The sequence below is a fragment of the Homo sapiens genome, chromosome 3, assembly GCF_000001405.40.
Source record: "Homo sapiens chromosome 3, GRCh38.p14 Primary Assembly".
In the NCBI taxonomy this organism is placed as follows: domain Eukaryota; kingdom Metazoa; phylum Chordata; class Mammalia; order Primates; family Hominidae; genus Homo; species Homo sapiens.
The window spans coordinates 105,669,403-105,692,283 of NC_000003.12; the positions used below are offsets into that span (position 1 = coordinate 105,669,403).

Below are 22,881 nucleotides of genomic sequence, written 5' to 3' on the forward strand. Positions count from 1 at the left end.
CACTGAATGTTGGTAGCTTGATCTTGGACTTCCCAGCTTCCAGAACTGTGAGATATAAATGTTTGCTGTTTAGGCAATCCAGTCTATGGTATTGTGTTATAGTAGCCTGAACTGACTAGGACAAGCAGTGAACCAGACAACATTCTTATCTCCAAAGTGTTAATACTTTAGCAGACGAGACAGATAACCAACAATCAACCAAATGAATTCTGAATAACAAAATTTTAAGTAGTGACGGGTGCTATGAAGAAAAATAAAGCAAAAAAGGAAAGAAAATAACTGCAGAAGATAGGAGCTATTTAGATATGTTCAGGGAAAGCCTCCTCAAGAAGCAAAGAAGCAGCATTCCATTATTAACGGTTGTGAGTATGACTTGTATTTACAAAAATGGTACATCCTTCTATTTGATGGCTGTCAGTGCAGCACTGGTTGGAGCCCTAAATAAGCTAAGAAAATGAATAGTTTGGTGCCAGTATTAATTCCATAGAGATTGCTATAAAACAGCATTGCAATGTACAAAGAGATTTTCCTCATTTCCTAAATCTGAGACAAAATGAAAGTTAGATAATGAATACATTTTGAATCAAAGAAGTGGCTCCACTGAGTGATCAAAGATAATATTAAGCTTAATATTTTTCTTTTCAATGAGGCAGTTCTGTAGCCATTCCTCTCACAATGCCAGCTTTATAAGCAAAATGCAATGATGATCAAAATACTTTCTTGGGTGGACAACATTCATTAAATTATATAATGAATAAGAAGGTGTTCTGAAAAGCAAAAAGCACTATATAACAATAAGGTATTATTGTTACTGTTACTAGCCAACTCACCTGAACATGAAGGAAGCTGATCATAGTCCTGTGATGTTCTGTTAGTTTTGACATTTTCACCTGGTAACCTTCTAGCAGGAGGCAAAGGAACTTGGCCACTTGCTAGATCAACAAAGGGATCTTAAAAATAAAAACAAGTTTCAAATTAAAAGGATGATCTCTGTTGATTGGCTGAAGAAAAAAATTCTAGAATTATTTTATGAAGATTATGGCTTTCAAAAATAAATTAGAAAATTAAATTCATGACTGATATTAACCATTTTTTACTGCCTGCATATTTTCTAATTTATTCATCACTTGCTTAAATATGCTCTTCACATTTATTTCCAGATAATAAAGACTACTTGTTTTATATTTATATTTTGCAGATATATTTAATTATAAGATTGTTGACAATAAAAACAGCTTCTAAATTTTATTTTCTGTCCCAATCCAACCTGTACAATGTATAGAAACTGTTCTAAAGTAAAAGCAAAAAACAAACAAACAAATATACATAAAACCATGGGTTTGGATCCTCCCTATAAGAGTATTATCAAATTACTTGATCTCTCTAAGCATTGGGCATACAAAATTTGTAAAACAGACCTGAAACTTCGGATTTGTGTGGATTAAATGAATTTGTGCATGTAAAATCTTCTGTACATACAAGGTGCTTATTATTATATTGGGCATCCTATGCTTAACATCATTGTTGTTAGTTGGCTCACAAAATAGTAAATTTAATTGTTAAAATTATGCCATTTAGTAATTAACATTTGAATATACAGTAAAATGTGATAATTTACCACCTTGGCAGTCAGAGACGGGGCATCTGAAATAGTAAAAAATATGATATTTACTAACTGGAACTAAAGGGAGAAAAAGAGATTTTGTCAGTGTTGCTGTATTAAATCATTAATACCATAAACCCAACTGGTTTAACATTCATAGTATTATATGGGTTTAAATTCTTAGAGAATTGATTCCCTTTTTGAGTAGACAAACATTACATCTGAAAACCTTGGTTCACTAATAATTTATCTAGCTATCACTCCCACCTCAGGCACCGCTGCTTTCCTCTCATAGTACTTTTATGTTGTCGATATCTCTGAAAGTACCGTCAATTCTTCTGAGGACAGGGATCTGAGGGATCTTTTCCTACTTCTCATGTTTGAATTATACCTCCTAAATCAAACATAGCACCTAGAACACTCTTGGCAAATAGCTTGCACTTAATATTTACTTTTAACTACCACAAATAAATCCACACAAATTCAGATTGTTCACAATTTTAAAATCAGTGAAACCTGAATTGCTAATGTAAAGCAAAAATTGTAAATATTAAAGAAGACCCGATTGAATTTCATTGTTTTAACTTCCACTCCCTTAGACATTAATAATATGTAAGTATTTGATTACTTACGATGAAAACATAGGCTTAAATATTGACTATTTTTATATTAGTTTTTGACTGGATAATGTAAGGCAGGATTTGAAGCCATTATCTTTTCACCTTTTTTGGAGTATAATAATTATCACCAGCTTTGCTGAGGACTTTTTGACTTAGACAAGGCTCTTTAACTTGTTTTCATTAATTTCAAGATTAAAATAACTCTTAGATTTTGAGTTTTCAATATTTGAAGAATTGGTGGTCCAGCTCCATTAATTTTCCAGAAATATTTTTAGGAAGGAATGAGAAGATAAATCGCATGAGACAATGTTGATCTTTTGGTTTGTTAGAGAAACCAAAGGAAACAAATATGGTGATTTCAGCATAAATTTTGAAATTTCCCAAAGATTTTGCACTAGATATTTCATAAAATTTACTTTAGGTTCTTGTAGACTCTAAATGCCCCTGATACAACATTAAGTCAGAGGAAAGACTGTCTTTTACAATACATACACTTGCTTATTTCTTTACGGGAAATTTATAGGTTTGTCAAATACACTTAATGCTATTTCTAATCATCTATTTATTTAAGGTTAAAAAGTAAACTCTGGATACACTTCAGAGCCATACATAGACTATAAAATATACCACTGTACTATATTCTTCCATTAAACTATATTATTTAAAAGGTACTAGATACACTCAAAATATTATTATAAATAGCAAAAATACCTGCTTATGGTTCTGTTTTGAATCATTATCATGTTCTATCTTGCATCATATCCTAAGTTTGCTATTTGTCAGCCATAGGGTAAACTGGGCTCTCTAAAGCAAATTATAAAGTTGGAAGCATTCAGGCTTTAAAGGGAAAGAGATTAGATATAACACAATTGCTACACAGAGTATAATAATTACCAATTGTCCCCTGATAAGAAAACTTTGTAAAGTAATAAAGCTTTTCTAAAATAAATTCTTCAAAAACTAAAGAAAAATATTATATCCACAGGATTAAAACAAACTGAAATGATCACAGCCAATTTATCACTTATATAAGTGTTTGAGAAATAAATGGATACACATACAGAGACTAATCTGTTGTAAAAAGCAAAGTACTACTGCCTGTGATTTATAGTACAGCACTGCAAAACTGAAAATTTAGTACTTATTTGAGAGATTATAAAAAACTAAGGGAAGACTGGGAGGAAATGGTTTGCTACTTAAAAAAGAAATGAGGAAATATACATCAATAAAAATTATATTGTGTACAAATATTTAACAACTATATACATTGCTCATGACATATTAACTGGAAAATGGTTATAAATAGCATATACTATGAGAAATAAATTTTACATAAATGTGAACTTACATACTCGTAGGCAAAAAACAAAACAAAACTAAACAAAAAAACAACAAAAAAAAAGGAAGGATACCTATCAATGATTAGGAGGAGGAAGTATGGATTTTTTTTTTTTTTTTTTTGAGAGAGCGTCTTGTTCTGTCACCCAGGCTGGAGTGGAGTGGTTCAATCTTGACTCACTGCAACCTCTGCCTCCCGGGCACAAGCCATTCTCTTGCCTTGGCCTCCCAAGTAGCTGAGACTACAGGCGCGAGCCACCAACACCCGGCTAATTTTTGTATTTTTGTAGAGCTGGAGTTTCACCATGTTGGCCAGGCTGGTGTCAAATTCCTGAGCTCAAGAAATATGCCTGCCTCAGCCTCCCAAAGTGCTGGGATTACAGGCATGAGCCTGTACCTGGCCTGGAATGTTTTTCTTAATTCTTTTTTTTCTTCACTATCTGAAACACTTCCAAATTTTTACCAAGTGTAAAAACAGAGGCAAATAAAATTAAATAATTAAAACAATGGCAAATTTCCTCCCTGGCCATCCATAAACCACCTGGAAGATTTATCAATTATCCCCCAAATTTTAATAGAGTATATCAAAGCAGAAACTAATGCTAAAAAAGGTTTGAAGAGCCATTTAGGTGAAACAAAGTTCTCCCCTCTTTGCTGCCCTCATGCTTTAGCTCATGTTCATATCTCTACTATGTAATGATCTACCATTGGTTTAAATCCTCCAGTGTCAGATAACTCACTACACTCAAGGTAGAACAATTCGTAATGATTTAGGAAACTTCTTTGTAGGATGAATGCAATTTTCATTCTTAACATTTCCCATTGATCTTACTCCTACCTTCTGAAGTGACATGGAAAAAATATAATCCTTCTTTCCCAAATACTGTAACTGAAGACAACTCTCGTCTACATCCAAGGTCTTCTCTTCTCTGAGCCAATTCTCAGTTCCTTTAATCCACTCTAGTTTACTTTATCATCCTGGTTGCACTTTTTTGAGAATACCCCAGCCCAGTATATTTCAAACTTGAACATGCATCAGAATCACCAGGAAGGCTTGTGACCACTGAGTCCCATTCCCAGGGTTTCTGATTTATTAAGTCTTGAATTTTCATTTTAAAGCAAATCCCCAGGAGATGCTAATGTTGTGAATCCGGAGAACACAATTTGAGAATTGCTGCTCTAGCCCATTAATGCTTCAACATCTGAACACAGTGGTCTCCACAAAGGCTGAGTACTGTGGAGGACTTCACTCCTCAGATTTGAATTCTGTGAGTTCAAGCCCCAAATGGCATGCGCTTTCTCATCATGATGATGCTTTATAAAGATTGTAGTCAACAAAACCCCTAAAACCTTTTCAACAATTGTTGCTAATGATCTGGATTTTCTTCATATTTTACTTATGCAGTTGCATTTCTGGATCCAAGAATAAAACTTCCATTTATCTTTAATAAAGTCAATTTGGCTAGCTTTCAGAGTTGAACTGTGACTTTAAGATTAGATAAGATCTTCAAGTGAGATTACAGGTTAGAGAAACAGCAAAATAAAGGTAGCATAAAGACTGACAAAAACACTGTATTTTGTGCACTGCACAAAGACACCTAGTTATGGTTATGAGCAGGACTTAAATACAGTCTTTGCTTTGTTTCTTGAGCCCTGACCTGGCACAAAGTAGAGGTAGGGGTGTCTACTTCAATCTACCAGCAAAAAGGAAGTACTTTTTTGTAATATGGAAAAAAGCACATATACACTAGTGGTAGCCTTGGGATTGGAGACAAAAGAGTGTAAAGCTTTTGTTGGGGACTTCAGGTTTTGTTAAGATATGATTGGCCTGTCCAAAACTGAGGGCTCATGTACAGCTGTAGGCATTACTATTCTGCCAAAAGAAATCTTACATGAAGGCCTAAAATAGAAAAGAGATAAAAGAAGAATGAGAGCCCTGCCTCTGCTTGCCCTGCCCCCTTGATCCTACAACAGTACTGAGGCACTTTTGCAGAGACATAGGACACTGCAATTTGACAATCACTACTATATAGAAGTCAATGAGCTATAAGGCTGAAAAGCTGAACCTGGCCCAACTGTGCAGGGCACTGAATGCTGGAATAAAAATGTAGGCTTGATTAGGTACTTAGTATAATATCATGAGAAAATTCAACCTCTCTTCCTAAGACACCTATCATTTGTCTTTAATTAGAAATAATTATTTCCTCAGGAAACCAAATCTCAATAATGTTTAGAAAAGATGTATCATTACACCAGACTAAGATTTTACAGACTGAACAACGAAAACAACGGTAAAATGCTCACAGAGTTTGTTTAAATTTTGCAGTCCCTTTTATTTACCTTTTATAATTCTAAAACTACTGAGTTAAACTTTAGCATTTATAGCATATTCTTAATAAAGTCAATTCTTAGGGAGAACTGCTATAATGAATCTTTTACATTTCTTTAGACAGTATAATGTATTAAATACTTTGCAAAACAATACTCAAATGCTCATTTATCAGCCAAAAAAATCTTTATGCTCTATGATATGCAATAGCATTAAAATATTAAAATATTTCTTTTGAAAAGGAGGAAAGCTAATACACACGGTTTTAAATTTGAATCAAAATAATTGTCACAATGAAAGTCATAAAGGGGCTGGGTGCAGTGGTTCACGCCTGCAATTCTAGCATTTTGGGAGGTTGAAGCAGGGGGATCACATAAGGCCAGGAGTTCGAGACCAGCCTGGCCAACATGGCAAAACCCCATCTCTACTAAAAATATAAAAAATTAGCCGAGTGTAGTGGTGCACACCTGTAATCCCAGCTACTTAGGGGGTAGAGGCAGGAGAATCACTTGAACCTTGGAGGCAGAGGTTGCAGTGAACTGAGATCGCACCACTGTACTCCAGCCTGGGCAACAGAGTGAGACCCTGTCTCAAAAAAAAAAAAAAAAAAAAAGTCATAAAGGATCTGGTACCAGACTAGAAATCTGTCATGTAAATGATTATGAAAGACTGGAAAAGGAAACAAAAAAGTTGCCTTTTTTTTTTTTTAAGAAATACTTATTATAAGGGATGTTGATATTATTGGGAAGAGAATTAGAATATGTCCATCTATTAATGAAAGTCAAGAGAGAGTCAACAGGCTTGAAAAACATTGCCCTGACTCCCATGCTAGCCTGACACTCTAAGTTAAGGATAAGTGTTGTTGAGCTCCCTGGCAGCCAAGCAAACACAAAACAGGCAAATCTATAAAATAAATACAACGGTTTATAAAAATTGCATTTTAGCTAATAAGAGGGGACATTTTCATTTTAAACTAGTAATTTTTTTTAGCAATTAATCTTGAGGGGTTTCTTTATGAAGATTTTATATAAAAGGAAATGAACAATTAAGATAAAATAAATAACTAAAACCTTTTACAATTCTTTTGACAAAAACAGGTAAAAGTGTGTATTTGTGTAAAATGTTCTCTTTTATTATAGCTCTTGGAAAGCTTGACTTTATTTGTCAGAAAAGCCACATCATCAAAGTTCCATCTATTGGGGCTTAAGTTACGCATATAAAAGGTAATAGGAGAGCCAGAAACTATCTTGAACTTAGCATCAGGAAATTTAAGTAACTAAGATTTGGAATGACTCATTGTTCTAAAAATCATGTTAAAGTCTATGTATAAGACAAAGTTTTGAATAAGTGAAAAAAAATAGCGAAATACAGCAGTGTTTACATGTAACTAACTATATGAATAAAAGCCCAAGCAGTTATGATATGGTTTGGCTCTGTGTCCCCACTCAAATTTCATTTTGAGTTGTAATCCCCACGTGTTAGGGAGGGAACTGATGGGAGATGACTGGATCATGGGGGTGGTTCCCCCATGCTGTTCTCATGATAGTGAGTGCTCATGAGATCTGGTTTTTGATAAATGTCTGGCATTTTCCCTGCTTGCTCACTCTCTCTGGCACCTGCTGCCATGTAAGACATGCCCTGGTTCCCCTTCACCTCTGCCATGATTGTATGTTTTCTGAGGCCTCCCCAGGCATGCAGAACTGTGAAGCAATGAAACCCCTTTTCTTTACAAATTACCTAGTCTTGGGTAGTGCTTTTATGGCAGTGTGAAAACGGACTCATACACTATACTTCCTGCTTGGACCGGAATGGATTATGACACTAGTGCTTTCATTGGCAGAATCCAGTAAACTCATAAGGTTCCACAGGTCAGGAGGCATCTATCACAAATGGGTAAACAGTGAATGGCTCAATCAATATTTACTGATGTAAAAGCAGAAGATTATTCTTGAAAAATAAACCACTTTAAGAAATTGAAGCTGTGTATTCCAAGTTGTACGTCCATAACTTGTGTGTCTTATCAAATCTCTTCAAACTTTCTAAACTATCAAACCAAGTAAAAAAAAAAAAAAAAAACTAAGAAAAACTAATGGTAGACATGACTAATAATCAACTGAGGAAGCTGATAAGGGAATCAGTTGGGAATAAAGATTCTCAAGTTTCCATGAGGCATATACGTAGCTAAAGGACAAACTGAGCACTTTTTAAAGATTTTCATGATTTATCTCATGTAGAAATGTAAGGAACTATGAAAAAAAGAACATCTTTACCCTGTATTTTCCCAAATCAAGTCCAAGGAGGCAAAGGTTTCAGGGCACAGTATCACTAACAAGACAGACTGGAACTGTTAATTAGTATCAGCAGATTCCATATAACATTTTTTTTTCTTTTTCCTGATAATTCTAACTAATGCAACAGATAGTTTATTAAGTCTTCATTTTTATTTCAGATCCTCTTTTGAAATTTTAAAATATACTAATATAAAAAATTAGTTTACTAATATTAAACAAATAATATTATATAATATATACATATGTAAATAATAATATTAAATAGTTACTAAGAAAAAATTAGTTTTCCTTAGAATACCAATAATTAGTGAGTAGATACACACTGAGGCATTAAAAATATCACAACAAAACAATAAAATGCAGCTATTTCAGAAAAACTTCTCTATTCTTGTTATAACAACATAATTTACCAAAATCTTATGTTTTGAACAAAATTATGACACTAAGGCATATCTAGTAAAATTTTAAAAACCTATTAAAAAACATTGCATTGGGAATCGGAAGACAAAGTCTAAATATTGTTCCCATTACTATTAGCCTAACCCCTTAGCAGTTCTGGTTCTCAGGGTTGCATTTGTAACATAAGGAGGTTTCTGGACTGGACAATCTCTACAGCATCATTTCTACTGTAGTTCCTTATTGCTCTTTCCATCTCTGTAATTATGTTGGCATTAAACCAATCAACTGACAAACAAACGTACCCACGATTGCTACTTTTACCACCCAGGGATTTTTCTGTTCTGCTAGGGAGGTAGAGACTAATGAATCACTAACATTTATTTGATAGTATGGTTTTGGAAATATTTTTGCTTTAAGTGAATAGTTTTCTTTGGCTTTTCCCTCCTACCTGAAGGAAGAAGAAAAAGATCCTGTCCTGAGGATGGCCGGCTACTGGAGCCAGGAGGTTTTGAATGTTCAATGAGACTATGCCTTGCAGGAGGTGGGGGAGGTGGGAGAGATGGAGGGAGGGCATCAAAAGCATCTTCACCTGCATTTAAAGAAAGGTCGATATCAGCAGCAGAACTTCATTAATCAAAATACACAGCATCTAACAAAAGTAATAATTGATTTTCTCTTGCTGCTTATAAAGAATTTCACTCGCAGGGTTTATCCAGCAGTTCACCAACTTTGATAATGGGATCTAATTATTTTGTGGGAGAGTCTGGAGAGAAACACACACATGCACACATATACATACATACATACGTACAAACACACCCATGCAAACTTTTTCTATCAGGCCTTTTTATAAAAAGCAGCATTGTAACTTATGAAACAGCTCATAGTTCACTTGTAACCTTTATAATATTAGGACTCAGAGTTTGAACTAAAAATTATTATCAGTCACACTATGAAAACAGGATTTTCTGTGTAGCAAAAAGAGTTCACAGCCTTTAACTGGAAAATCACCTCAAATACATATAATTTAATGTCAAAGAATAGTTTAGATTATCCCATATAGTTTATTCCACTGGATTTTAATTTATTTAACCTAATGTTTCATATATTTGATATGCTGTCAAAATATACATAAAATGTACCTAGAGCAGAGAATATGATATTTTTCAATTTGTCAGATTTAGCTACAGAAGAACAGCTAAATATAGAACCTTCTCTGGTTCCAAGCACTACTTACATTTGCATATTTCCCAGCTTTAATAACTAGAATATTGCAGCATAGTTTTATATCTACTTATTTGTCCCCTGTCACACCTTACTATTCTACTCATAGTTTTCATTACCTTGAGTCTTTAAAAAAAAAAAAAAAAAAAAAAAAAGCACATGTTTGGTAAGCTATCTCAAAATACTTTAGGAATGAGACAGGGTATACATAAACACATATTCTAATAATAAAAATTCACACTTTTAAGTTGAATGATTTAAACATAATGGCATATTTAAAGAAAAATGAGGCTTGACGTGGTGGCTCATGTCTGTAATCCCAGCATTTTGGGAGGCCAAGGTGGGTGGATCATGAGGTCAGGAGATCTAGACCATCCTGGCCAACATGGTGAAACCCCATGTCTGCTAAAATACAAAAAATTAGCCGGGCATGGTGGTACGTGACTGTAATCCTGGCTACTCGGGAGGCTGAGGCAGGGGAATCGCTTGAACCCAGGAGGCGGAGGCTGCAGTGAGCCACGATCGTGCCATTGCACTCCAGCCTGGTGACAGAGAAAGACTGTCTCAAAAAAAAAAAAAGATATTACTATTTACTGAACTTGCTTTAGAAAAAATTGGCACACTAATTTCTTTAATCATATTTTTCTTATTAACACATCTGAAGATGCACAAGACAGAGTTTTGCTATCATTTTAACCTTCAGCTATTTCCTACATTATCATATTTATTCAAATCTTTTTTCAGCCCTTAAACATCTGACACTGGGCCAGGCTCATGCATGATATGAAAATCAAAATTATAAGGCTCTGACTCAAGGAGCTGAGATTCCATGAAAGGAGCTTAAAAAAAAGCTCACAAATAGGTATGATTTACAAGTGAAAGTGTTTTATTGGTCCCATAAAAGAGACATATGCATTGGATGAGGAAAGAGAAATGTAGACAAGTGGTATTCAGTGAAGTGTTGAAGAACAGGAAGTCCTGGGATATCAGAAGGCTCAAAAATTTATTCATCAAATGCAAGGACAGGATCGTCTAAGTAGAGTAAACAGTATGAAGAAAAAAATGACACGCATAAGAAGACCTAGAAAAAGGTCAAGGTAAAAAGACAGGTTGGAAAATCTGTCTACTTTGTCATATAAAGTAGTCACCCATCCACATTTAGCTATTTAAATTTAATGAAAAGTCAGTTCCATAATCACACTTAACCCATATGCAAATATACAGATCCTTTACATCACCACAGAAAGCTTTATTGAACAATGCTTATCCAGGTGATGAAGATCTGGGTAATATGTCAAAAACAAGTGTGCAGGAAGAAGTGGAAGGGAGAGAAAGACTGTAGGTAACAGAGTTAGGAGCCTTTTGTAATTGATGTAGGTGAGAATAAAGTCCTGAACTACAGAGAGAACAGGAGCAAAAGATACTGCAATTGTGTCATTCAAAATACTAGTCAGTGGTACTTGTGAGAAAATGGAAAGGTTCATTTCGTATTTCTGGTGGCCTAACAGCCAGTTCAGAAAAGCTTGTAAATTGACTTTCATCATATATTATTTTATGTTACAGTGACTTGTTATTGTGAAGCGTTATGTAAGGTGTGCAGACATTCTGTCTTCTAAAAACAGGGTGAGATGCTTCCTAATTAGAATTAATGAAATTAACAGTGACAGTGGCACCAGCCAACTTCAACATATACACACACCTACATATACCTTCACCTGTGGATACAAACAAAAATACACATAGGATGTTTCTTCATTATTATAATTTGAAACAAGGAAATTGAGATTTTTTTGAATGTGTTACAGTTGTAATGATTAGAATAAAACAGAATTTATTATCAGTTCTCTACATACAACTATTTAATTTTGCATAATTTAATTAGCGTAAGTGGAACTGGTGCTCATGCTGCAAGAAAAGCAAGTTCATATTTATTAAGAATTATTATACTTAAAGAAAATCTCAACACTTCAAGTCATCACTTCAAAACTACTAGAGCACAAAGCTCTCATGTGTTTTTAGACTACATTTAGTATGGACAAAACAACTTGCTTAAAACCTGACTGATGCCCAACTACTACACTACTACCTTAATCATCTACATGGAGTAATGGTCTCGTGAACTTGGGAGTCACCGGCACCTGGAGAACCCATTCAAATTTCAGGCAAATTCACAACCCAGTGAGTCTGTGTTATACTGAACTCTGAATTCTGAAAATTCTGAAATTAAAAGAAGGAGGGGTGGGTTGTTCAAAACTTTTTTAAAGGTTTCAACCTAATGGAGGGATGAGAAGATCATAATCAGAGGGCGTCCTGTTGAGTGAAGAACCATGCTTTGGATTGTCCCGAGTTGGAGGCCTGGCAGGTGGTAATGGCACGGGATCAGAGGCTGAATCAAAAACATCTCCTAGAGGATAACACAAAACCTTAATGTATTTTCAGTACAATGGCATGAAATTTTGCCTTTAAATTCTGACCATTAAGATGTACATCACAAAGGAAATTATATTCTATACGTACCCTTTAAATATATGCTTAAGTCAGGGATGTTTGATTTCTTCTCTGAAGATGGACCATGTGTTCCATTCAGCATACAGTGACCATTATCACAAGACCTAAAGGACAGTTCAGAGTAAAATTATATAAGGAGAATACTTTCCAATTAAAAGTAACTTGAGAGGTAGAGGGAACTAGTATTCCTGTTTATTTAATAAAGTTTGAACATATATTTTTCTTTTCTCAAAATTACCAGTAATAACATCAAGATACTCATCCCTTATTTTAAAATGTAGAAGTAAATATCTCAAGTAACACAGTCTCTCTTTTTTTAAACTATAACCAAGAATTACAAGGGCCACAAAAATTGTTGATATCCTAAACACTATGTAAAATTAACTTATCTCTGTGGAAGAATTCAATAGAACCTGGTCAAGTTTTTGAAGTAAAAAAAGATGTATGTGCCAAGGCAAAAACATATAGCAGTCTCAATGACTTTATTATTTGTTGATAGTATTTAATATCATATTTTTGCTTCTGTAACTTAAAATTTCCTTGTAATAAAAATAAGCTACAGCACATAAAAGAAGAAAAATTATTGAACTTTCAATAATTCCATTACAATTCTGACAGGAACATTCAAAGAACTAGAGCCTGTGGTACTATTTCACCACTGCCAAGAACAAAATTCTGGCCCTCTGACACTACAGAAAATGACTTTAGCAAAGGCCTTGGGTACACGACAAGTACAGTTTTTAATGTGTTTGTAAAGGGTACTACTTACCAGAAAAGTATGCTTGAGTTGTTGGGGCTTTTTTTGTTTTGTTGTGTGTGTATCTGTGTGTTGCAAAGGCTGGAGTGCAGTGGCATGATCTTGGCTCACCGCAACCTCCGCCTACCAGGTTCAAGCAATTCCCATGCCTTAGCCTCCCAAGTAGCTGGGATTACAAGCGTGCACCACCACGCCCAGCCAATTTTTTTTATTTTTTAGTAGGGTTTTGCCATGTTGCCCAGGCTGGTCTCAAACTCCTGGCCGCAAGTGATCTGCCTACCTCACCCTCCCAAAGTGCTGGGATAACAGGCATGAGCCACCGAACCCAGCCAAATTATTGGTATTAATTCTTCGGAATCATACTATGAACACAATGGTTAAAATTGAGCCATGGGAAGATAGCAGCAGGAAGAGAAGATAAGGAGCATATTTTGCCTTCAGCATATAGCTCTATAACAATCAACTGACAAAGAGCTATAGAAATCAGAGTTTACATTTTACTTTTCTCTGATTTACTCTGAATTTTTAGAGCAAAGTAAAAGTGCGTATGTAATGGAAGAGACGGATATTTGAATAGATAATGCAAGAATGCTTCATCTGAAATTCATTTCTATTCTCTCTGGTGGCCACTTCTCTTTAAGGGGCCAGATATAGTTCATTTAAAAATAGTTATCATGTATTGAATCTTCATAATAATGATGGATTTTTACTGAAATTAAATTGAATTACTCATTTACTGGGTCACTTTTTCTACATATTGACAATTCACTTCTCCTGATGTTCCAAAGGGGGAAAAATACACACAGGGAAAGAAAGTGTTAAGCTTAAAGAGCTCTTTGGAGAGCACAAAAGAAGATACTTCATCCATCAGCTTTCAAGAACAAATTAGATAAAGAATTCACTCCAATTACATTTAGGGATTATCAACGTTTATTACTTTTCTGTAACAATAGAAAAATGGTAATGATGGTTATAATTCAAATTTATTTTCAAGATTTGGGAGCTCTGCCACAAAAAATCACATCCAATATGATGTAACAATTAAAATTTAACGTATTAAAATTATACTCCTCACTTATCCAGCAATGAAAAAAAATAAGACTCCCAAAGAGACCAAAAAAAGCTCATCCTACTTTAGTTTTTAAAAATTACTGCACATTTGTAAGAGCCAAAGAACCGAAAATTGTAACAACTTATATTTGATGAGAAGGAATATCTTTTGTTCTCAAATACATCACTAGCTACTTGGTTCTTCTGATACATAAAATTAGCTCCTCGTTATTTCTTTGTCTTCTCAATGATATGATTTTATCAACAGATGTCTTATCTAAACACCAGCAATAGCAAGGAGTGTTTAGGTTCTTGCTTTTAAAAAAATAAAGTCCTGCGCTGTAGACTATTAACAATTCTGGGTAATAATTCAGCAGAATGTTGATAATTCTAACCAGGGTCACTTATTAAGACAGACATCTGCTTAAAATGAAAATGTGCTTCTCTTTCCAAGTGCTGCATTTCCTACCTCAGTGAGATGCCTGAAGAAACACATTAAAACATTTTTTAGTTTTTCATTGGAAAAGAAGGGAACACTGTACTTATAAAATGTTTTCAGTTGATTGACTTGACCTCAAAAGGAAATGGCACACTAAGTAAAGATGGCACAGATGACTGAAGTAATTGCCATCTCCCCTATCCCTCAGTCAGTCATGGAGAGATGCTGGAATGTAGGGCCACCAGCAGTACTTGAGCCCTATTCTATGTGCCAAGCATGGCCCCAGGAATGTTATACAAAGGAAACCAGAACTCAGAAAGTAAGTTTTGTAGCTGGGAGTACTGAGTACCTCATATATTTCAGTCAGGTAAAACAAACAAACCCAGAAATAATAGATTTCAGTTTATAAATTCAATAATATAAATGCAGACTCATGCCTTTACTTAAAGATAAAGTAATATTTCAATACAAACAACCCATTATTAATAACTCTTATTTACCTCGATGGAGCTTCCAAGTCAAAGACCAAGGCTATCCCCATGTAAGTGAGAATAAGCCACAAAAGTAAGGAAAAAACCCCCATTATTCCACACATTCTTTTTTTTTTTTTGAGATGGTGTCTCGCTCTGTCACCCAGGCTGGAGTGCAGTGGCACAATCTCGGCTCACTGCAACCTCCGCCTCCCGGGTTCAAGCGATTCTCCTGCCTCAGCCTCCTGAGTAGCTGGGATTACAGGCGCCCACCACCACACCCGGCTCATTTTTGTATTTTTAGTAGAGACAGGGTTTCACCATGTTGGTCAGGCTGGTTTCAAACTCCTGACCTCATGATCTGCCCGCCTCAGCCTCCCAAAGTGCTAGGATTACAGGCGTGAGCCACCACGCCTGGCCTATTCCTCACATTCTTATTTGATCTAAAGGAAGGTAAATAGCACTTGATAGAAAAACAAAAAGTTAAGAGAAACACCTTGGTATTTTTTTCCCACTTCTTCAAAATCTGAATAGAAGTAGGTAGCAAGTACATCAAGAAGGAAAATGAATTTAAATTATACTAGTATGTACATCATGAAGAAAAATTCTAAGGAAGGTCAGAATAATACCTTAGTTTCTGAGCACTAATTTTTCTTCATGAGATAGGTGTTTAGAACTGATAAAATAAAGTGACTTCCTGATTAATGAGAAATCTGCATCTTTTAGTTTTCTTTAAAAGTAATGCTGGAAATGGTATAATAGGAAGAGAAGGATTTGAGCTGGAAATTAAGGATTTTTAATTAGACGTGAATCAATTGTTTAAAAACAAACATTACAAATGATAATGCTTATGCAGATGTAAGTGGCAAAAATCTGCCCATACTCTTACCGAACAGGAGGTTTTACATTATGACAATGAGATGGTTGTGAATTCAGGGAAACAGGGTGGGATGAAGGAATCTTGTATTCATCATCATCTTCCTCTACTGGGTCTCTTGTTTTCTCTGAAAGAGAATTTGCTAACGGACCAGTACACCTACCAGGGGAAAAAAAATCCAATCTAGTTTAAGCATAATATTCAAAACAGGCAAGTCTGATGTGACATATTCAAGTCAAAGAAGCTACTTTATCACTTATGTTCATTTTTCAATTACAGGGTATCATCAGAGAAGCTGTTCTTATATCAAATACAAATGAAAACAATTTTCAATCTTTTGTTAAGACCCTTGATGGGATAAAAGAATTTTCATCCTCACAATTTTAAATGGCACAATAGGAAAAACTAGTAACCTGTCGAATAAAATAAAAAGATGTTGGATTTGTAAGACAAAATGTACAAATTTATTCAAACCAAATCTATTAAAATATTAATATTTTGTTCCAATTTAAATTAAATGGGTAAAATATGATGCTACAATAATAAGCATGGTTGTTTTATATATTAAAGAAGTCTTTATAGAATGGTCAAACTTTTTGTCTCCTGTGAATATTATCTATAGTTGGAAAAATATCCAGTTTAATTCTGTAAAACTTAACTATCCTGTGAAATTATAGTTGAAGTTGTTAGGTTTTTCTTCCTACCAACAACTGAGAGCTAGAAATGAATGGAATGATTAGATGTAGATAATGAGAGAACTTATTTTTAAGTCTTTGAAGTACATTATTTTTATGGTTTAAATTCCCTGGCTAAATAAAAGAGAATTAAAATGAGTAAAACCATCACCTAATATCAAAAACATTAAGCATTTCACTTATCCATAAGAGTAAATAAACCAAATAAAACAAACCCAAACAAATGGGCAAACATAAACAATGTTTTTCGTAACTGTTGCTACCAGAGTTTAATCTAACCCTGGCTGAAGCCAATGAAAAATGCCAAGGCAGAAATGCACAAACTCATCCTGATTCACTTTAGGACGACCAACTAGTTTGCAAGGCATTGGGAATACACACATGGATCCAAATCTTTTTGTTAATCATCATGAACCTCATGAGAAATCTGTTCAATTTAAAAAGGAAGGAAAAAAAAAAAACAAAAAAACTAAGTGACTGCAATTTTGCAGCACCTTCTATAGAGGGAGCAAGAGGCCTTTGGTATATTAAACAAACATGCCTGAATTAACATTCATTTTTATTTCTTTTTATTAGTTAGAACAGAAACAATTTTAGGGGCTTTTCTTTGTGACCATTACAAGAAGGCATTTTGAAAAATCTAAAGATTTAAGTTTCAACCATATTATCTAAGTCATTAGATAGGACATTCAAAGATCAAAGAAAAACTAAGATTTTTCAAGTGTATGTTTATTGATACCTATCTTTGAAAAAAATTTCAATACTGATCTTTAAATTCTTGTTGTTTGAGCAACTTTAGAATTCACATGAGCGTTACAGGGAGACAAAAGCACAGAGACAAAAGCATAGTGACAAAAGGTCCAGTGTCACTACCTACAGCACAAGCTAAGGGCCTTAATAATAATCTATTATTACACCTATTATGGTTTAACTTTGGAGGATTTACTTTCCAATTAAAGGAAGTTAAGTATATGGGCTGCAAAATGGTGATCTGATGGCACTGGAACTGGGAGAGACTTATAATATTACTTTTCCATAAATTCCTGTAAACACAGCCATCAATTTAGCTAAGTCAAGGACCAGAATGGGTTCTATTACCAAATGAAATGAGAAATATATACTGTACATCCTCTCTATGCCTAAGATACTTTCATTTATAATGAATCCCTTTCTATGCAATTCAAGCATACACTATGTAAAAAGAAAACAGTATTTTTCACTAAACATTCAACAACTATTCAATATCAGAAATGTTCTAAGATCTGCCTGTTGCAGGTTCCCTCCAAAGATTTAAGTTTCCAAAGAAGCAGTTCATTATGAGTCAACAATGGACCATTTTTTAAATCACATACGTTGTGGCTAATTTGATATTTTACCTTCATTGATAGAGAATTTCTCGAGTAATTTCCCCCACTCTTTTGCTTTGCCACAAATCAGTAGATTATTTCAGAATGAAGTGAAAAGCAAAGCTCATCTAATACTTCATGGAATAATAAGGCTTATTGCTAAAACTTACTAGTATAAATTGTCAACTTACACAGATTTTAGAGAATTATATCTAGAAGTGAAAAAATAGTTTTCAAGTGGTGTTTGTATCTAAATATGAAAAAAATACTTAGGTGTTCCATTTATCACCATTTTAATAAAGTTCTAAAGATTCAGATTTTATTTTTCTGCTTATGTTTTTTAATGAAAATGTTTAATATCAGTATAATAGTCTATTTGGATTAGAAATAAACCAAAAGAATAACATTACAGTGTATTTTATTCAAGATTACATAGTTTTTATTAAAAATTAATCTTATCCAGTTCTGAAAAAAAAAACTGGTTTCTATCAAAAAAAATAACAGAAGAGGATGGTACAAATGAGATAAAGAAGTTGTATATAAAATAGCAAAATAAAAAACTAGAGTCATGTAACTAATTATACCATCTGGAATTACATGTGGGGTTTTATTTTCCTCTACAAACTCATTCAAAAAACAGGTTTAATTTTACTTACTACTAAATAACAGGTAAAATAATTAGATTTATATTTAGTCATTATCTATCCATGTATGTGACATTTGGCAGTAGAAAAAATTTCTATCTTATGGGGCATGGGACAATTTTCAGTCATTGACTAAACTTACGGGAAATTTTTAGGATACCAGAGGAATAAAGCTGAACAAATTGTATTTGGCTGACTCCACATTAAAGCCTACCATTACACTTATTACTGCAATCCCTTTATATTCTCATCTTACATTCCCGGAGTGTTCTGCACTGATGCTGTTATTACTGAGTTAATACACTGGTAATACATAGGGACATACACTCTCAAAGATGCATAGTCACCACCCCCCCCACAACCTGGACATTTTATTAAATTCATTGTGTTAGTTATTTGAGCCTTCAGTGATAAATACATTCATCTTCTACATATGCACACTTGAAACAAACCAAGAAACAAGTGAATTTTCACGCCAGCACAGGAGATAGTATCCAATGCTATGCTTAATTAGTAAGCTTGTTTTCTACATATAAGAATCTATCTTCCTTTAATAGTATCTGAAGGCAAGTAACGAAAAAATATCTTCTGTTAAAATAGAATCTTTAGAGCTTGCCCTATACATTACACCATATTTCTTATATTACATTATCCCAATCCTAACAGGGAAAAATGTCTAACTCAAATAAATAGTCCAGAGAAGAGACAAAACAAAATATAGCTATATTTGAAATGATTTTTGCACATGTGCCACATATAAATCATTTCCTCAAAACACTAAATTTTATCATATACATGCTAATTTTCAAGGGTCTTTCATGACATCAAAAAAAAGTCTGTGTGGTATACTATCAAGCTTTAAGATAAGCTTTACTTATAAGCATTTTCACTAACTTGTTTGTAAATCGGAGAAACAGATTTGAAGTTGCTTTGTACTTGTGTTCTATCCAGCCTCTGTGCTCTTCACACAGATAACCTCATGGTTTGCTCCCTTACTTCCTTCAAGTTTCTGTTCAAATATTAGCCTTTCAGAGAGGTCTTTCCTAATGACCTCATCTAAAGTATAAACCTCTCTATCATTATTTATCCTCTTCCCTGCTTATTTTTCCTCCTAGCACTTACCACTAGCTGACAATATACAATATAGTTATTTGTTTACTTTCTCTTCTCCCTAACTAGAGCTTAAATTCCAAAGAGGATAAAGGATTTTATCTTGTACAAACTGAACCTCTAGTAAGTAAAGCAACTGAATGAAAACAGGACAGTTAGGTGAAATTTGTATTCTCTGTTTATGGAACCAAAAATACAAGGACTTATCTCTTTAGAAAAATATATATTATAAGAATATATATTCATAAAAATAGATAATACCACCTCCAACAACAAAAAAACCTTTCTTACAAAAATGCAAAACCAAGTAATATTGATTCATGGCTATTTGAAAGCCTAAGTTTAATATATCAAAAGTACAAAAGGTCCATCTCTAAAAGACAAGGCACACACACAAAAAAAATTCTTAAAAAAAAAAAAAGATATTCCTCAGCATTTCAGAACATTATCTTACCTGGAAGTAATTACTCCATTATTACTTGTAATAATGCCTCTGTTCATTTGCCAATCTATTGTGTGCCAAGTAAAATAAATATTTCCTTAACTATTCAGAGTATCATTTAGTTTTAATTTTGAAAAATCAAATTATTTCAAAATAAATATAATTTAGTAAATAAATAATTTAAACTATAAAGTAAAAAGAATCCACATAGGATTATTTTGTTCTCCCTCCAAAAAAATAATTACCCATGTTTCTAGGATTTACTTAAAATTTTATATTTATAGCTAAGTGTCAAAGATGTTAAGCAGAAACCATTTAGAAAAAAACATTAATTTAGAAAAATTAAGTATATAGATACAAATAATTTCAGATTGCTTTTACAACAGTATGTTTTTTAAAAGTAAATTTCATACTCTTCTAGGTCTCAAGACAAATTACACAATAAAAGTCAAATAATTGCAAAGATACAGTTTAACAGGAAACACTATGACAGCAGCCTCTGACATCATGTAAATGGGAATCAGAGTAAACAATATCAAATATTTAACAATTCTATTTCAGTAAATATTTATAACAACATAGTATAAATGTAAGGTAAATGTTAGCTTTGACATTCTTGGATTTAACATTGGAGTTTTCAACATTTGTAAGAACTACAGAAGTGTATGTTTGGTAGGAATGCGTAATTTTGCTTTGGCCTGATTTTGAAACATATACCAAGAGTCTAAGATGGAAATGAACTCTCGAACATCTGACATTCCTATTTCTGTGAGTGGCATTTTGCTAAGACCTCTGTTCTAAGACCATCCACAGCCAAGACTCTTGACTCACTGTTATTGTCAGGTTTGCCATCAGTATCCTTTAAAAAAACACACTGTATAGAACCTAAAAAGCTGAATCTCAAAAGGATTTTGGAGATAATTTAAGTTAAACTGATCCTCTCTTCTACCAGATGGGGAAAGGCCCAGAGAAGTTTTCCTGTTAAAAATAAGACAAAGGCTGGGCATGGTGGCTCACGCCTGTAATCCCAGCACTTTGGGAGTGTGAGGCGGGTGGATCACAAGGTCAGGAGTTCGAGACCAGCCTGGCCAATATGGTGAAACCCCGTCTCCACTAAAAATAAAAAAATTAGCCGGGCATAGTGGCGGACGACTATAGTCCCAGCTACTTGAAAGGCTGAGGCAGGAGAACCGCTTGAACCCAGGAGGCAGAGGTTGCAGTGAGCCGAGATCGCGCCACTGCACTCCAGCCTGGGCGACAGAGTGAGACTCCATCTCAAAAAAAAAAAAAAAAAAGACAAATACTTAATGGCGGAGTCAGGTGTGGTACACAGTCTGATTTTATTCTACTGTTCACATCAGCATTCCATGCTGGTTTTGTAATAAACACAATGCATAACTAAACAATTAAGAAAAATGCTTATGATAATGTTAAGAAAGGAGGGCATAAAATTATCTCTACCATATAATCTAAATAAGGTAAAAACAAGTTTAAATAAAAAATGTCAAAATGTTAAAACTCTGGACATTGATATTTAGCATATGCATATGCTTGTGCTTATGTATCTCACTTTTTTCTTTCTCTTATATACTTTGCATATTGTCTACAGTGAACAACTGCTACCCACAGAGTCAGAAACAAAAATAAACTGGAGAGATAACTGTGCCATTAAAAGCTAGCATTTGTACTGCTAACTATGGCTGACTTGCAGCATGCAAAATTGAAAACTAATTTGCTGGCAAGCATGCACTGTTAAAATATTTCTCTAGTTAAGTGAAACAATTGCACTGTTTCTGAGGGAAAAATCAAGAGTAAATAGGGAGAAAGTATGACTAATTTTAGATGCACTTACCAACTGAAGTATTAGAAAAAATACATTTTACTATCAATTTGTTATTCTTGCTTCATTTACAGGAGAAGCAGGTATTTAATGTTAAATACAAATGAAGCACACTGCAACTTCCAGCTCGCTTGCCAATATGAATTTAATAAACAGAATGTGAACATTTAATCTCTAATTAGCAAGATTTCATTTTCTAATGTTCTCTGAGTTATCAAAGGTAATTGAGCTTAGATGTTTTATTACATGCACATATATCCAGAGTTCATTTAGCACTAGAATATAATCATATGTTGTCACTGATTTAGAGCCTACTACCCAGAGTATGTATAATTGCTTCCAACTCCTATGCCTGCTAAATATCTCGCAGTTCCAAGAGAAGTTCCCACTGGAGAATGATCTAATTCGCTGAGTTTCCCACCGTCCCCTGAATGATGCCAAATTTCACACCCTTGTTTTTTCTCACATTCTGCCTTTCCCAATTGTGCCTGTACTTCATGAGTCATGAAATGCCCATCCCTCCATGACATCCTTCATTCACAAAGTCTATAACAGCCTCTCCTCCAAACTCATTTGAAACTACTAAGTTAGCATTATAAATGTTAGTGCACACCATTCTCTAATGATTTCATATACATTAATGTTATTTTCTAAAGTAGACTGTAAATTTCTGGGGGGCTGGGATCTACCTTATTTTTCTTTTGCATTGATATGTATAGTGGGAGTTCAGTGAACTGCAGATGAAGGAATGAAGAAGCTCTAAGACCTTCTATTGTAAATAAGGACCTCAGCAGATAAAATTTAAATCAATAAACCAAGCATCCACGTATTCTCTGTGTACTTACTTACTATATGCAAATCATTTACTTAGTATATATCAAATACAGTAAGATGTTATG

The 22,881-nt window shown here is 34.0% G+C and overlaps 1 protein-coding gene across 44 annotated transcripts in view; it reads right to left on the reverse strand.

Annotated features, from left to right (window-relative positions):
• CBLB (Cbl proto-oncogene B) overlaps positions 1 to 22,881 on the reverse strand; it is a 213,989-nt gene that overhangs the window by 13,942 nt on the left and 177,166 nt on the right. For 15 of the 44 annotated variants that reach the window (XM_011513257.2, XM_017007398.2, XM_017007395.2 and 12 more), the window contains 5 exons: positions 15,918 to 16,064; positions 12,322 to 12,416; positions 12,077 to 12,208; positions 9,029 to 9,169; positions 831 to 950 (listed from right to left, as the gene is read on the reverse strand). In XM_011513257.2, the coding sequence (XP_011511559.1) occupies positions 831 to 950; positions 9,029 to 9,169; positions 12,077 to 12,208; positions 12,322 to 12,416; positions 15,918 to 16,064 (635 nt within the window). Of the gene's footprint in view, positions 1 to 830; positions 951 to 1,618; positions 3,061 to 6,357; positions 6,476 to 9,028; positions 9,170 to 12,076; positions 12,209 to 12,321; positions 12,417 to 15,917; positions 16,065 to 22,881 lie in introns of those variants that run through there. The other 29 variants (NR_135809.2, NM_001321790.2, NM_001321791.2 and 26 more) reach the window with 14 other exon arrangements.